At 43.5% G+C, this 17,979-nt stretch overlaps 2 annotated features.

Moving 5' to 3' along the window:
* Positions 984–1,483: an enhancer, noted in NCBI's record as "H3K4me1 hESC enhancer chr4:48925455-48925954 (GRCh37/hg19 assembly coordinates)". NCBI's record gives its function as "activates a minimal SCP1, AML or CMV promoter by ChIP-STARR-seq in primed H9 embryonic stem cells {active_cell/tissue: H9 hESC(primed)}" and the evidence as "EXISTENCE:reporter gene assay evidence [ECO:0000049][PMID:30033119]".
* Positions 17,840–17,919: an enhancer, noted in NCBI's record as "active region_21550". NCBI's record gives its function as "activates an Ori minimal core promoter by ATAC-STARR-seq in GM12878 lymphoblastoid cells {active_cell/tissue: GM12878}" and the evidence as "EXISTENCE:reporter gene assay evidence [ECO:0000049][PMID:35858748]".

Raw genomic sequence — 17,979 nt, 5'->3', positions numbered from 1 at the left:
ATGATGCTGATTTGCTAAGAGTCCAGGACAGTTGTCCAGTGGAATATCTCACCTTCAGGATTTGCCTGATTGCTTAATCATGGTGTTGTTTAGCTTGTTCCTACTTTTCCAGTTATTACCTGTCTTTTAAATACGCTTCGGATAGTTACAAGGTAAAGAAAATAAATCTACAACACCAAAGCTATGAACTATGAAAAATTGATAAATCAAACTTCATTAAAATTTAAAATGTCAAAGCCAGGCACAGTGACTCATGCCTGCCTGTAATCCTAGTGCTTTGGAAGGCCCAGGTGGTTAGGATCTCTTGAGCCCAGGGATTTGATGCTACAGTGAGCTATAATCGCACCACTGTACTCCAGGCTGGGTGACAGAGCAAGACCTTACCCTTAAAAAAAAAAAAAAAAAAAAAAAAAAAAAAAAAAGGCTGCCCTGGCACAGTAGCTCATGCCAAATCCCAGCACTTTGGGAGGCTGAGGCAGATGGATCACGAGGTCAGGAGATGGAGACCACTCTGGCCAAACATGGTGAAACCCCATCTCTACTAAAAAATACAAAAACATTAGCTGGGCCTGGTGAGGCGTGCCTGTAATCCCAGCTACTCGGGAGGCTGAGGCAGGAGAATGGCTTGCACCAGGAAGTCGGAGGTTGCAGTGAGCAGAGATTGTGCCGCTGCACTCCAGCCTGGCGACAGAGCAAGACTCCATCTGAAAAAAAAAAAAAAAAACCAACCTATTCTGCAAAAGACACTGTCAAGGCTGGGCACGAAGGCTCACGCCTGTAATCCCAGCACTTTGGGAGGCCGAGGCGGGTGGATCACGAGGTCAGGAGATCAAGACCATCCTGGCTAACACGGTGAAACCCCGTCTCTACTAAAAATACAAAAATTTAGCTGGGTGCGGTGGTGGGCTCCTGTAGTCCCAGCTACTCTGGAGGCTGAGGCAGGAGAATGGCGTGAACCCGGGAGGCGGAGCTTGCAGTGAGCCGAGATCGCGCCACTGCACTCCAGCCTGGGAGACAGAGCGAGACTCTGTCTCAGAAAAAAAAAAAAAGGCACTGTCAAGAAAATGAGAGCTCCGGTCTACAGCTCCCAGCGTGAGCAACGCAGAAGACCGGTGATTTCTGCATTTCCATCTGAGGTACCGGGTTCATCTCACTAGGGAGTGCCAGACAGTGGGCGCAGGTCAGTGGGTGCACGCACCGTGCACAAGCCGAAGCAGGGCGAGGCATTGCCTCACTCGGGAAGTGCAAGGGGTCAGGGAGTTCCCTTTCCTAGTCAAAGAAAGGGGTGACACACGGCACCTGGAAAATCGGGTCACTCCCACCCTAATACTGCGCTTTTCCAACGGGCTTAAAAAACGGCACACCAGGAGATTATATCCCACACCTGGCTCAGAGGGTCCTACGCCCACAGAGTCTCGCTGATTGCTAGCACAGTAGTCTGAGATCAAACTGCAAGGCGGCAGTGAGGCTGGGGGAGGGGTGCCCGCCATTGCCCAGGCTTGCTTAGGTAAACAAAGCAGCCAGGAAGCTAGAACTGGGTGGAGCCCACCACAGCTCAAGGAGGCCTGCCTGCCTCTGTAGGCTCCACTTCCCGGGGCAGGGCACAGACAAACAAAAAGACAGCAGTAACCTCTGCAGACTTAAATGTCCCTGCCTGACAGCTTTGAAGAGAGCAGTGGTTCTCCCAGCACGCAGCTGGAGATCTGAGAACGGGCAGACTGCCTCCTCAGTGGGTCCCTGACCCCTGACCCCCAAGCAGCCTAACTGGGAGGCACCCCCTAGTAGGGGCAGACTGACACCTCACACGGCCGGGTACTCCAACAGACCTGCAGCTGAGGGTCCTGTCTGTTAGAAGGAAAACTAACAAACAGAAAGGACATCCACACCAAAAACCCATCTGTACATCACCATCATCAAAGACCAAAAGTAGATAAATCCACAAAGATGGGGAAAAAACAGAGCAGAAAAACTGGAAACTCTAAAAAGCAGAGTGCCTCTCCTCCTCCAAAGGAACGCAGTTCCTCACCAGCAACGGAACAAAGCTGGATGGAGAATGACTTTGACGAGCTGAGAGAAGAAGGCTTCAGACGATCAAATTACTCCGAGCTACGGGAGGAAATTCAAACCAAAGGCAAAGAAGTTGAAAACTTTGAAAAAAATTTAGAAGAATGTATAACTAGAATAACCAATACAGAGAAGTGCTTAAAAGAGCTGATGGAGCTGAAAACCAAGGCTTGAGAACTACGTGAAGAATGCAGAAGCTTCAGGAGCCAATGCGATCAACTGGAAGAAAGGGTATCAGTGATGGAAGATGAAGTGAATGAAATGAAGCGAGAAGGGAAGTTTAGAGAAAAAACAATAAAAAGAAATGAGCAAAGCCTCCAAGAAATATGGGACTATGTGAAAAGACCAAATCTACGTCTGATTGGTGTACCTGAAAGTGATGGGGAGAATGGAACCAAGTTGGAAAACACTCTGCAGGATATTATCCAGGAGAACTTCCCCAATATAGCAAGGCAGGCCAACATTCAGATTCAGGAAATGCAGAGAACACCACAAAGATACTCCTCGAGAAGAGCAACTCCAAGACACAACTGTCAGATTCACCAAAGTTGAAATGAAGGAAAAAATGTTAAGAGCAGCCAGAGAGAAAGGTCGGCTTACCCACAAAGGGAAGCCCATCAGACTAACAGCAGATCTCTCAGCAGAAACTCTACAAGCCAGAAGAGAGTGGGGGCCAATATTCAACATTCTTAAAGACAAGAATTTTCAACCCAGAATTTCATATCCAGCCAAACTAAGCTTCATAAGTGAAGGAGAAATAAAATACTTTACAGAGAAGCAAATGCTGAGAGATTTTGTCACCACCAGGCCTGCCCTAAAAGAGCTCCTGAAGGAAGCGCTAAACATGGAAAGGAACAACCGGTACCAGCCACTGCAAAATCATGCCAAAATGTAAAGACCATTGAGACTAGGAAGAAACTGCATCAACTAATGTGCAAAATAACCAGCTAACATCATAATGACAGGATCAAATTCACACATAACAATATTAACTTTAAATGTAAATAGACTAAATGCTCCAATTAAAAGACACAGATTGGCAAATTGGATAAAGAGTCAAGACCCATCAGTGTGCTGTATTCAGGAAACCCATCTCACATGCAGAGACACACATAGGCTCAAAATAAAAGGATGGAGGAAGATCTACCAAGCAAATGGAAAACAAAAAAAGGCAGCAGTTGCAATCCTAGTCTCTGATAAAACAGACTTTAAACCAACAAAGATCAAAAGAGACAAAGGCCATTACATAATGGTAAAGGGATCAATTCAACAAGAAGAGCTAACTATCCTAAATAGATATGCACCCAATACAGGAGCACCCAGATTCATAAAGCAAGTCCTGAGTAACCTACAAAGAGACTTAGACTCCCACACAATAATAACGGGAGACTTTAACACTGCACTGTCAACATTAGACAGATCAATGAGACAGAAAGTCAACAAGGATACCCAGGAATTGAACTCAGCTCTGCACCAAGCAGACCTAATAGACATCTACAGAACTCTCCACCCCAAATCAACAGAATATACATTTTTTTCAGCACCACACCACATCTATTCCAAAATAGACCACATACTTGGAAGTAAAGCTTACCTCAGCAAATGTAAAAGAACAGAAATTATAACAAACTATCTCTCAGACCACAGTGCCATCAAACTAGAACTCAGGATTAAGAATCTCACTCAAAACCACTCAACTACATGGAAACTGAACAACCTGCTCCTGAATGACTACTGGGTACATAACGAAATGAAGGCAGAAATAAAGATGTTCTTTGAAATCAATGAGAACAAAGACACAACATACCAGAATCTCTGGGATGCATTCAAAGCAGTGTGTAGAGGGAAATTTATAGCTCTAAATGCCCACAAGAGAAAGTAGGAAAGATCCAAAATTGACACCCTAACATCACAATTAAAAGAACTAGAAAAGCGAGAGCAAACACATTCAAAAGCTAGCAGAAGGCAAGAAATAACTAAAATCAGAGCAGAACTGAAGGAAATAGAGACACAAAAAACCGTTCAAAAAATTAATGAATCCAGGAGCTGGTTTTTTGAAAGGATCAACAAAATTGATAGACCGCTAGCAAGACTAATAAAGAAGAAAAGAGAGAAGAATCAATTAGATGCAATAAAAAATGATAAAGGGGATATCACCACCGATCCCACAGAAATACAAACTACCATCAGAGAATACTACAAACACCTCTACGCAAATAAACTAGAAAATCTAGAAGAAATGGATAAATTCCTCGACACATACACTCTCCCAAGACTAAACCAGGAAGAAGTTGAATCTCTGAATAAACCAATAACAGGAGCTGAGATTGTGGCAATAATCAATAGCTCACCAACCAAAAAGAGTCCAGGACCAGATGGATTCACAGCCAAATTCTACCAGAGGTACAAGGAGGAACTGGTACCATTCCTTCTGAAACTATTCCAATCAATAGAAAAAGAGGGAATCCTCCCTAACTCCTTTTATGAGGCCAGCATCATCCTGATACCAAAGCCAGGCAGATACAACCAAAAAAGAGAATTTTAGACCAATATCCCTGATGAACATTGATGCAAAAATCCTCAATAAAATACTGGCAAACCAAAATCAGCAGCACATCAAAAAGCTTATCCACCATGATCAAGTGGGCTTCATCCCTGGGATGCAAGGCTGGTTCAATATACGCAAATCAATAAATGTAATCCAGCATATAAACAGAACCAAAGACAAAAACCACGTGATTATCTCAATAGATGCAGAAAAGGCCTTTGACAAAATTCAACAACGCTTCATGCTAAAAAACTCTCAATAAATTAGGTATTGATGGGACGTATCTCAAAATAATAAGAGCTGTCTATGACAATCCCACAGCCCATATCATACTGAATGGGCAAAAACTGGAAGCATTCCCTTTGAAAACTGGCACAAGACAAGGATACCCTCTCTCACCACTCCTATTTAACATAGTGTTGGAAGTTCTGGCCAGGGCAATCAGGCAGGAGAAGGAAATAAAGGGTATTCAATTAGGAAAAGAGGAAGTCAAATTGTCCCTGTTTGCAGACAACATGATTGTATATATAGAAAACCCCACTGTCTCAGCCCAAAATCTCCTTAAGCTGATAAGCAAATTCAGCAAAGTCTCAGGATACAAAATCAATGTACAAAAATCACAAGCATTCTTATACACCAATAACAGACAAACAGAGAGCCAAATCATGAGTGAACTCCCATTCACAATTGCTTCAAAGAGAATAAAGTACCTAAGAATCCAAGAATCCACCTTACAAGGGACGTGAAGGATCTCTTCAAGGAGTACCACAAACCACTGCTCAAGGAAACAAAAGAGGATACAAACAAATGGAAGAACACTCCATGCTCATGGGTAGGAAGAATCAATATCGTGAAAATGGCCATACTGCCCAAGGTAATTTACAGAGTCAATGCCATCCCCATCAAGCTACCAATGACTTTCTTCACAGAATTGGAAAAAACCACTTTAAAGTTCATATGGAACCAAAAAAGAGCCTGCATCGCCAAGTCAATCCTAAGCCAAAAGAACAAAGCTGGAGGCATCACGCTACCTGACTTCAAACTATACTACAAGGCTACAGTAACCAAAACAGAGACATAGATCAATGGAACAGAACAGAGCCCTCAGAAATAATGCCACATATCTACAACTATCTGATCTTTGACAAACCTGACAAAAACAAGCAATGGGGAAAGGATTCCCTATTTAATAAATGGTGCTGGGAAAACTGGCTAGCCATATGTAGAAAGCTGAAACTGGATCCCTTCCTTACACCTTATACAAAAATCAATTCAAGATGGATTAAAGACTTAAACGTTAGACCTAAAACCATAAAAACCCTAGAAGAAAACCTAGGCAATACCATTCAGGACATAGGCATGGGCAAGGACTTCATGTCTAAAACACCAAAAGCAATGGCAACAAAAGCCAAAATTGACAAATGGGATCTAATTAAACTAAAGAGCTTCTGCACAGCAAAAGAAACTACCATCAGAGTGAACAGGCAACCTACAAAATGGGAGAAAATTTTCGCAACCTACTCACCTAACAAAGGGCTAATATCCAGAATCTACAATGAACTCAAACAAATTTACAAGAAAAAAACAAACAACCACATCAAAAAGTGGGCAAAGGACATGAACAGACACTTCTCAAAAGAAGACATTTATGCAGCCAAAAAACACATGAAAAAATGCTCACCATCACTGACCATCAGAGAAATGCAAATCAAAACCACAATGAGATACCATCTCACACCAGTTAGAATGGCTATCATTAAAAAGTCAGGAAACAACAGGGGCTGGAGAGGATGTGGAGAAATAGGAACACTTTTACACTGTTGGTGGGACTGTAAACTAGTTCAACCATTGTGGAAGTCAGTGTGGCGATTCCTCAGGGATCTAGAACTAGAAATACCATTTGACCCAGCCGTCCCATTACTGGGTAGATACCCAAAGGACTATAAATCATGCTCCTATAAAGACACATGCACACGTATGTTTATTGCGGCATTATTCACAATAGCAAAGACTTGGAATCAACCCAAATGTCCAACAATGATAGACTGGATTAAGAAAATGTGGCACATATACACCATGGAATACTCTGCAGCCATAAAAAATGATGAGTTCATGTCCTTTGTAGGGACATGGATGAAGTTGGAAATCATCATTCTCAGTAAACTACAGCAAGATCAAAAAACCAAACACCGCATATTCTCACTTGTAGGTGGGAATTGAACAATGAGAACACATGGACACAGGAAGGGGAACATCACACTCTGGGGACTGTTGTGGGGTGGGGGGAGGGGGGAGGGATAGCATTGGGAGATATACCTAATGCTAGATGACGAGTTAGTGGGTGCAGCACACCAACATGGCACATGTATACATATGTAACTAACCTGCACATTGTGCACATGTACCCTAAAACTTAAAGTATAATAATAATAAAAAAATAAAATAAAATGAAATGAAAAGACAAGCCACAAACTGGGAGAAAATATTTGCAAGACAATCTGATGAAAGACTAAAAATATACAAAGAACTCTTAAAACTTAACAAGAAGAAAACAACCCAATTAAAAAATGGACTAAAGACCCTAACAGATACCTCACCAAAGATGATACATAGATGGCATCTTTATATATCTATATAAATATATAGATATACAAATCTTTGTGTGTGTGTGTGTATATATATATATATATGTATGTATGTATATATAAAGATGCTCAACCTCATATGCTTTCAAGGAACTGCAAATCAAAAGAACAAATGAGCTATCACTACACACCTATTAGAATGGCCAAAATCTAGAACACTGACATCCCCAAATGCTGGTGAGGATGTGGAGCCACAGAACGTCTCATTCATTGCTGGTGAAAATGCACAGTGGTACAGCCACTTTGGAAAATAGTATGGAGATTTTTTAGGAAGCTGAAGACACTCTTATCATTTGATTCAGCAATCATGCTCCTTGGCATTTACCCAAAAAAGGAAAACTTATGTTCACACAAAAACCTGCACATGGATGTTTATAGCAGTTTAATTTATAATTGCCAAAACCTGGAAGAAACCAAGATGTCCTTCAATAGGTGGATGGATAAATAAACTGTGGTCCAACCAGAAAAGAGAACATTATTCAGCACTAAGAAGAAATGAAAAAGCACCATCGGCACTATCAAGCCATGAAAAGACACGGAGGAAATTTAAATGCATATTAGCAAATGAAAGAAGTCAATCTCAAAAGGCTACATACTGTACAGTTCCAACTATATGACATTCTGGAAAAGGCTACAGTAAAAAGATCAGTGGTTTCCAGGGGTTGGGGGGAAGGAGGGACAAATAGGGAGAGCACAGGGGATTTTTAGGGCAGTGAAACTACTCTGTATGATTCTACAATGGTGGATACATGTCATACATTTTTCCAAAACCATAGAAGTACAACACTGTGAGTGAACTCTAATGTAGAATATGGACTCTGGGCAAAAATGTGACAGTGTAGGTCCAGTGTAGTTCCATCAGTTGTCACAAGTGTACTGGTCTGGTGAGGTATGTCGATAATGCAGAAGGCTATGCATGTTTTAGGGCAGGGTATTATGGGATATCTCTGTACCTTCTGTTAGATTTTTCTGTGAACCTAAGACTTCTCTAAAACAAAAATCTATTGAAAGCAGAAACAAAACAAACACAACAAAACCTAGATAAAAGAACACTGAAAGAAGTCAAGGGTGAATTCTTGAGGATTCTGGTGGGGGGCGGAAAGATAATAAAAGATAATAAATTGAATCTGCAGCTGGTATAGCAGCCTAGAAAAAACAGCTGAAGACTAGAGGGGAGAATGAGCAGAAACTAAGGACTAAAGGAATGTTGTTCAATTATCTCTAGATTTAATTCATTTAGGTGATCCCTGTATGAATAACCACAAGTAATTGAGACTAGAAAAAAATAATAGCCCAACTAACTTAAATTCTGAGCAAGGATTAGGAATTGTAGACACAAGGCAGCTTTGTGACATGGATACCAATATAAGAAGTAAGATTTTGGGTTTTTGCCTTTGAGGCTTTATCGTTTTAGGTGGGGCTTTGGGATGCAAGTTCTCATTGGAGACTTCAATCTATTCATAGACAAAGTGTAAAGTAGCAAGGCTTAGTCACATTAGCAACCAACAATGTAATACTGGGGAGATATAAATTCAGCGTGTTGCTAGCTTGCAGTGATAAAAGTCTTTTGAATCCTTGTTCAAAGACAATTCATTTGCATGTGCTTTAAAGACTCAGGAAATGGCCGTGGAAAACCTTTATTCAAGGTAGGTAAATAAAAAATGTTGCTATGGGATTATTAAAATAGACTGGAGAGATTTCAGGTACTTCCATTATTTACTTACTCACCAAATATTCTACATGACCTGCCTTAGCCAGGACTGTGGACATGCTATAGATGTGAATTTTAGTTCACTTCACTAGGGTTTCCAAAAGGCCATGTACTTTTGTGTCTCTAAATAAAGTTACATTTGTTCAGAGTCCCCTTTCACTCAGGAAGTTCAATCTCAAGAATTTGGTGGGGATGGGGGGCAGGAACCCTTTTTCCTAGGGTCAAGTGAAGGGATCTGGCACAATCTAGAACATTCTAGAAGATCCTCTGATCTCTTCTGGTCACACTGAACTGGTTGAGGTATTCAGTGTCAAAATCCACGTGGTCCCTTGAAAGCAGTGGCCCAGTCCCAGATCTTTTGGCGGCTGGGAAATTAAAGACTTGGTGAACCTTCTCTCTCAGGGGACCATGCAGCTTTTCTGCCATGAGGTCCTGCCACAGACTAGCTGTGGGAGGGAAGTGCTGGTCTCCAGTACCACAGGACCTGAACACCTCTGTCCCGCTCCCAGTCTTTTGAAAAGCTTTCAGAATCTTCCCTCCAGGGTTGGCCCACTTCCTCTCTTGGTTGGGGCTTCTTTTTTACAACAAAATTCTATATAGGGGTGATATTCCAGATGCCTGTTTCATGCTTTATCCCTGAACTCTTTGTTTATCCCTATAGTGCCAAAGTCATTAATCCTGAAATTAAGGACACTTGGTGACTTTCTTGGAATGGGGAAGAGAGAATCCTTACCATTTGTTCAGACTGCTGAAAGAGTATGTAACTCAAATTAAAATCTCAATATGGTTTTCTAGTCACAGAATTGAAGGTAAGAAAGACAGCCCCTGCCTTCAGGTATCTCACATCCTAGAATAGAGGCGAGTAAAGAGGTCATCAAAATACAGCACACAGGAGAGATTCCTGCCTCAGGGACCAGGGAGGGAGAGTTTCCCTGGAGGAAATGGTTATGAACACTTAAACAACACTCCCTATGTGCCAGGCACTGTGCCAAGCAATTATTTATATAAAGATATGGAGTGGGGCTATAACTGAGCCCAGGTAGTCTGGGTCCCTGCTTAAATTCCTAGGCTTTAGGGATATCTTCAATGGGACCCAAAGAAAAGTCATAAACTTGCCATGGCAGAGCATGTAGGTGCCTGTCAGAGGGTATAGGGTGGACACAGTGCAAAGATGCCCTGAGAGGCACTATCAAGTGGGAAGCTGGAATTGAACTGCCTGGAGCAGTTACAGCTTAGGCCCCTCCCCAAGTGGACTGCCAGGATACTGAAGCTTGTTTCCCTAATGCTCAGACAAGTGAATCAGAAAAAGTGGGCTGACTAGGGTAACACAGGGATTCTCAAAAATTCCTCTGTGAAAGCGAGTCTTCCCCCAACACTCTATCAAGATCTTGATTACTAAGCTTATTAGGTTTTGATTACTAAGCCTCTCATCTAAAATGGAATTATGCCCTGCAAGGAGCTAAATCTGTGGTTCGCATTTACATCTTGCTGTGAGTCATTTTCACCAGCAAATCAAATTGCTTTTCTCCCACCCTCACCATAGCCAGGTGAGAAGCTTGCTATCTAAAGAGAGGCTCAGTACAGATACTAGGACACAAAGCTGACAATGCACACTTGTCATGGGGTCAACACATTTGCCGTAAGATATCACTGTCCTCTGCTTAACCACATATTCTCTCTGCTACACCAGGAACATTCTGTTTTTTGCATTCAAAGGCTTTGCGTATCATGGACTACGGAAAGCAGTTTTGGAACATTAAAGTAGTAAATTTACTTTCAGGATGTCTATTGTGAGCAGTTGTGAGTTAAATAAAGGATAGCCTCTGGGAGGCCGAGGCAGGTGGATCACCTGAGGTCAGGAGTTCAAGACCAGCCTGGCCAATATGGTGAAACCTCCGTCTCTACTAAAAATACAAAAATTAGCCGGGTGTGGTGGTGCACGCCTGTAGCCCCAGCTACTCTGGAGGATAGGACTGGAGAATCACTTGAACCCAGGAGGCGGAGGTTGCAGTGAGCCAAGATTGTGCCACTGCACTCCAGCCTGGGCGACAGAGTGAGACTCCATCTCAAAAAAAAAAAAAAATGATAACAAAGGATAGGCCTGACGCAATGCAGACTGGAGACACAAGCAAATCAATATTCTCTCATCTTCATTCTTCAGCCTTTCCCCATTTGGGTCAAAATTATGATCATTGGGGCCTGTTTCACCTCTTGCTGAGTCTGGCATTCTGAACATCAAATCTAGATGAAGCTGAAGCAGCCAGAACTCTGGGTTGATGGCCCAAAAGCTCAGGCTGAGAACTGGCAACGTGCCTCACCCAACAGCCGTGCCAGCTCATAAGGGAAAGCAGAACCTGCAGTCCATCTTTGTGTGACACCTCATTTAAACCCAACTGCTCTGCTTTTGTGAGACTTGATATAATTTATTCCTCAGAGAGGGAATGAGTGACTCACGAGATCCTGTGATTCACAGAGCCTCTCACAGAGGTACGCAGATGGCAAGTTGAGCTGGAATAAGAAAAAGAATGGCAGGATGCCGAGGACTGCTCTTGCCACTCCATGAACACCCAAGATGTCCCCGACACACACATGAAACCTCTCCACACCAGGAATCCAGCCAGAGCCCCTTCTATAGAGCAGGAAAAGGTGGTTGTGGGTGAGCTCTGGGCTCCTGTGGGCATCAATCTAGATTTCCACTTGCTTTTTTTTTTTTTTTTTTTTGAGACAGGATCTCCCTCTGTCACCAGGCTGGAGTGCAGTGGAGCAATCATGGCTCACTGCAGCCTCAACCTCCTGGGTTTGAGCAATCCTCCTGCCTCAGCCTCCTGAGCAGCTGGGACTACAGGTATGTGCCAATACAGCTGGCTGATTTTTAAAATTCTTTTTGGTATTTTGTACAGATAGGGTCTCATGTGTTGCCCAGACTGGTCTTGAACTGCTGGCCTCACATGATCCTCCCACCTCAGCCTCCCAAGGTGCTGGGATTACAGGTGTGAGCTGCCTCATTTTGTTTTTAATCCATCTCCATCCCTCCCCTACTAGGGCTTGCTATTCAGCCAACCACACTGCACAGCACTCTCTCCTACCACACAAAGCTGCTTGTCCAGGTCTCTCCAGGTGTCTGTATCTATCTCTTGTTATGCATCAGTCTATGTGTGTCCTCTGCCCAATGAGGCTACTGGAGACATAACATACTGTAGAGGTTAAGAACATGAGCTCTGGGACCAGGCCACTGCAGTCTGAATCATGGCTGTGCCACTTCCCAGCTATGACCTTGGCCATGTTATTTAACTTTTCTCTGCCTCATTTTTCCTACCTATAACATTGGGATAATAGTACATATTTCTAGGGTTGTTTAAAAGGCCTTGCAACTAATCTGTTAAGAAAGAAAGGAAATTGTTCAGCTCCCTCTTACAAGTGAGAACATGCGGTGTTTGGTTTTCTGTTCCTGTGTTAATTTGCTAAGGATGATGGTTTTCAGCTTCATTCATGTCCCTGCAAAGGACGTGAACTCATTGTTTTTTATAGCTCCATAGTATTCCATGGTGTATATGTGCCACATTTTCTTTATCCAGTCTATCATTGCTGGGCATTTGGGTTGGTTCCAAGTCTTTGCTATTGTAAATAGTGCTGCAATAAACATATGTGTGCATGTGTCTTTATAGTAGAATGATTTATAATCCTTTGGGTATATACCCAGTAACAGGATTGCTGGGTCAAATGGTATTTCTGGTTCTAGATCCTTGAGGAATTGCCACACTGTCTTCCACAATGGTTGAACTAATTTATACTCCCACCAACAGTGTAAAAGCATTCCTATTTCTCCGCATCCTCTCCAGCATCTGTTGTTTCCAGACTTTTTAATAATCGCCATTTTTTTTTAATATGGAGTCTCACTCTATCGCCCAGGCTGGAGTGCAGTGGTGCGATCTCAGCTCATTGCAACCTCTGCCGCCCAGGTTCAAGCAATTCTCTTGCCTCAGCCTCCCGAGTAGCTGGAATTACAGGTGCCTGCCTCTGCGCCCTGCTAATTTTTGTATTTTTAGTAGACACAGGGTTTCACCATCTTGGTCAGGCTGGTCTTGAACTCCTGACCTTGTGATCCACCCACCTCAGCCTCCCAAAGTGTTGGGATTACAGGCATGAGGCACCGCGCCCGGCCAACAATCGCCATTATAACTGGCATGAGATGGTATCTCATTGTGGTTTTGATTTGCATTTCTCTAATGACCAGCAATGATGAGCTTTTTTTCATATGTTTGTTGGTCTCATAAATGTCTTCTTTTGAGAAGTGTCTGTTCATATCCTTCGCCCACTTTTTGATGGGGTTGTTTGTTTTTTTCTTGTAAATTTGCTTAAGTTCCTTGTAGATTCTGGATATTAGGCCTTTGTCAGATGGATTGACTGCAAAAATTTTCTCCCATTCTGTAGGTTGACTGTTCACTCTGATAATAGTTTCTTTCACTGAGCAGAAGCTCTTTAGTTTAATAAGATCTCGTTTGTCAATTATGGCTTTTGTTGCAGTTGCTTTTGGTGTTTTAGTCATGAAGTCTTTGCCAATGACTTCCACACAGGGAGGGGAACATCACGCACCAGGGCCTGTTGGGGGGTAGGGGGAAAGGAGAGGGAGAGCATTAGGACAAATACCTAATGCATATGGAGCTTAAAACCTAGATGATGAGTTGATAGATGCAGCAAACCACCGTGGCATATGTATACCTATGTAACAAATCTGCATGTTCAGCATATGTATCCCAGAACTTAAAGTAAAATTAAAAACAAATAAATAAATAAAATAAAATTTTAAAATGCCATTTTAACATGTAACGTTCCTATTAAAAGCTTTTATCTGGAAAAAAATTAAAAGGAAAGAAAGGAAAAAGGAAGTGAGGGAGGGAGGGGCACAGGAGGGATGGAGAGAGGGGAAAGAAAGACAGTGAGCCTCTTGAAATAAAGGACCATGTATTATTCACTTTTTATTTTGTGCCTCATTAAATTCATTCATCATCATTACCATTTGTGAGTTCATACAACGTACCAGTTACTGAAAAAGATCAGTGCTTGACTGCCCTCACCATTAAGGAGCTCACAGTCAGACAGAATGCCAATGAATGACATCAATGGTTGTAACAGTGTAAGGACAGCCAAAGGACAGTAGGGCCACACTGCTCTGAAACTCATCACTGTAGAGCCCAGGTTAAAATTCTACTGTCACTTCCTGGCTGCATGACTGAGTAAGTTATTAGCACCACTCATGGGACTGCTATGGGGATGAAGTTAAAAGATGATGAAAGCCTGGGCAATATAGCAAAACCCTGTCTCTACAAAAAAAAAAAATTAATTAATTAGCTGGTGTGGTGGTGCATGCCTGTAGTCTCATCCACATGGGAGGCTGAGGCAGGAGGATTGCTTGAGCCTGGAAGTAGAGGCTGCAGTGAGCCATGATTACATCACTGCTCTCCAGCCTGGGCAACAGAGAGAGACCCTGCAAAAAGAAAGGGAAGGGAAGGGAAGGGAAGGGGAGGGGAGGGGAGGGGAGGGGAGAGAGAGGAAGGAAGGAAGGAAGGAGGGAGGGAAGGAAGGAAGGAAGGAAGGAAGGAAGGAAGGAAGGAAGGAAGGAAGGAAGGGAGGGAAGGAAGGAAAGAAGGAAGGAAGGGAAGGGAAGGGAAGGGAAGGGAGGGAGGGAGGGAGGGAGGGAGAGCCAGGCATGGTGATACACACCTATAGTTCTAGCTACTCAGGAGGCTGAGGCAGGAGGATTACTTGAGCCCAGGAGTCCCAGGCTGTAGTGTGCCATTATTGGGCCTGTGAATAGTCACTGCACTCCAGCCTGAGCAACATAGCAAGACTCCCATCTCTAAAAAGAAAAAAAAATAATAAGGTCATGGGAGACCAGAAGCGCAGCTGACACATATGCATAACAGGTATCCCCTGCAGAGTGCGATGGGAGCACAGAAGGTGAGAAACTAAACTTGAGTCTGCAAGGCATCCACGAGGAGGTGACCTCAGAGCCCAGTCTTCAAGAATGAGTAAGAGAGAGGTGGAGAAGCAGAGGAAGGCTGATTCAGGCTGGCTCTCCAGTGCACATAAAAGCATGAAAGGAGAGAACATGAGTCACTCCAGAGGGCCCTGGGAGGGCCTCAGATAGCTGCATTGGAGAGGCAGGCAGGAGCTGAATCACTCAGGGCCCTGCTAATGAATTCAGATCTTGGCTAAGGTCAGTGTAGGGCTGTGGAAAGAGTTTAAGCTGAAACCTGCCATGGACGGTTTGGCACTTTCTAAATCAACCACATTTTTCATAGCATTAGCCAGTGATAATCAATTTTGGATCAGGTCATGATCCGGAGGCCCTGCAGGATGCAGAAGCAAAGCCTAAGAAAGGCTCTGTTGAGGGCCATAGACTTCTACGGCAATGTATATTTATTATAATTCTTTGGGAATTGATATATCCTTTGTGGAAAAGACTCATGTCTTTTTCTATTATCTTTGAAAGTGCTAGAACAATACATGGACACATCAGATTTGCCCAACAAATACCAATTGGTCATAACCGATGCACGTTACATATGATGACTTCTTGCTATTTAAGGTAGTCAATGGCCTATTTGGTGGAAAGTAGAGATGAGGGTGGGGGCCTGGACTGCACTCCAGCCTGAGCAACATAACAAGACTCCCATCTCTAAAAAGAAAAAAAAATAATAAGGTCATGGGAGACCAGAAGCGCAGCTGTCACATATGCATAACAGGTATAACATCTTGCATACCATAGCAAGATGTTAAAGGACAAATGCCACTTAGGTTATGTGTCCATTACACTGACTTCAGTGTAATGGAGGGTTGTTCATTTAAATCACAAAACCTGTTCTGTTCAAACCAGCTGATTTTTTCTGATTTCTGGTAATGCAATGTGAAATTAGCAATAGAATTATATTCCCTTTAATTTGGAGGTGGAAAAAGGAGTGAAAAGGAAATAAGACACACTTTGGTGGGGAGAAAACCAGTGAATCCATGGAGGAATGTGGTCTGGAGGATCTACTAGGGAAATGAACCATCCAAAACAACAGTATCTTGACAGTCATTGAACCTAGGCTCACTTATTCATTCATTCATTCATTCATTCATTCAACAAATATTTATTGAGCCCCTTCTATATCCAAGATGCTACACAATGGTGAACAAAACTGACACCATCTTGTTCTGAACCTCATGAAGATTACTCTGCAGCAGGGAAAATATGCTTTATATAAATGAACACACTAATAAGTACATAATGAGTTGTGATAAGTGCTATGAAGGAAAACAATAGTGTCCTGTGCTATGAAAAAGAAGAAAGGCCTGCCTTAGGCTGGGGTCAAGGAAGATTTTCCTGAGGAACAGTCAAAAAGAAGGAGTAGGAAAAAGCCAGGACAGGACCAATCGGGAGAGGCTGCAGGCAGGGGAGGGCCTCCAGTGGAAAAGAGCTGTGTGAATCTGAGAAACAACAAGTTGGAGGTGTGGATCGGGGAGGCGTGAGGAGGAAGCGGCCACAGGTACAGGGACCAATTCGCACAATAGGAAAAGGTGAGAAATGAAGAGGGCCTTCAGTGGAGATCCACAGCCTCTCTCCAAGTCAACACACTCAGTCAGTCCTGGCAGCTCAGCCCAGAAAACTTTGTCAGCCATGGCTGGGGTAACTGTGTCCAGAGGTGTTTGAACAAGAGCCACTCCATCTTGAATAGGGACTGAGTAAAATAAGGCTGAAACCTACTGGGCTGCCTTCCCAGGTGGTTCAGCATTCTTAGTCACAGGATGAGATAGAAGGTTGGCACAAGGTACAGGTCACAAAGACTTTGCTGATGAAACAGGACTCAGTAAAGAAGCCAGCCAAGACCCACCAAAATCAAGATGGTCATGAAAGTGACCTCTGGTCGTCCTCATTACTCATTAAATGCTAATTTTAATGCATTAGCCTGATAAAAGACCCTCCCACCAGGGCCATGACAGTTTACAAGTGCCATGGCAACGTCAGAAAGTTACCCTATATGGTCTAAAAAGTGAAGGAACCCTCAGTTCCGGGAATTGCCCACCCTTTTCCTGGAAAATTCATGAATAATCCACCCCTTGTTTAGCATAGAATCAAGAAATAACTACCAGTATAATTAGCTAAGCAGCCCACACAGCTGCTCTGCCAGTGGAGTAGCCATTCTTTTTTGTTGTTGTTCTTCTTGTTTTTTGTTTTTTTTTTGTTTTTTTTTTTTTTGAGACAGAGTCTGGCTCTGTCGCCCAAGCTGGAGTGCAGTGGCGCAATCTCGGCTCACTGCAACCTCTGCCTCCGGAGTTCAAGCGATTCTCCTGCCTCAGCCTCCCGAGTAGCTGGGATTACAGGCATAGAGCACCATGCCTGGCTAACTTTTCGTATTTTTAGTAGAGAGAGTGTTTCACCATGTTGGCCAGGCTGGTCTGAACTCCTGAGCTCAAGTGATCTGCCTGCCTTTGCCTCCCAAAGTGTTGGGATTATGGGCGTGAGCCACCGCACCCGGCCTGTTTTCTATACTTCCTTAATAAACTTGCTCTCACTCTACGGACTCACCCCGAATTCTTTCTTGCGAGAAGTCCAAGAACCCTCGCTTGGGGTCTGGATCGGGACCCCTCTCCGGTAACAAGTGATATCGGTATTAAAGGTACCCCCACATGTCAAAGGCTTCCCTCCACAAGTCAGAGTTGGGGAGGGACAGGAGGCAGCAGGGGACCGACAAAGAGCAATGGAAAGAGAAGGCCTGGGAGCCAAGCAGGCCTGGGGTTGACTCCAGGCTCCCTTAGTGGCCTGCACAACTCAGATGACCCGTCTGTGAAGTGCAGGTCACAGTGGGCACCACACACGGCTGCAGAAAGGAGTGCAAAGGTGATGCCCACGCCTGGCCTAGGGCGGGGGCGCAATACATGGCTGTTGCGGCTGTGATTGCTGGAGGAAGGGAGTCATTTGGAAGGCACAAAGGAACTAGAACCTACTCGGTGTCGGGACAAGCCTCAAG

The sequence above is a fragment of the Homo sapiens genome, chromosome 4 (genome assembly GCF_000001405.40).
Source record: "Homo sapiens chromosome 4, GRCh38.p14 Primary Assembly".
Lineage (NCBI taxonomy): Eukaryota > Metazoa > Chordata > Mammalia > Primates > Hominidae > Homo > Homo sapiens.
Note: the sequence above shows the minus strand (reverse complement) of the source record. Positions and strands in the feature narration are given on the sequence as shown.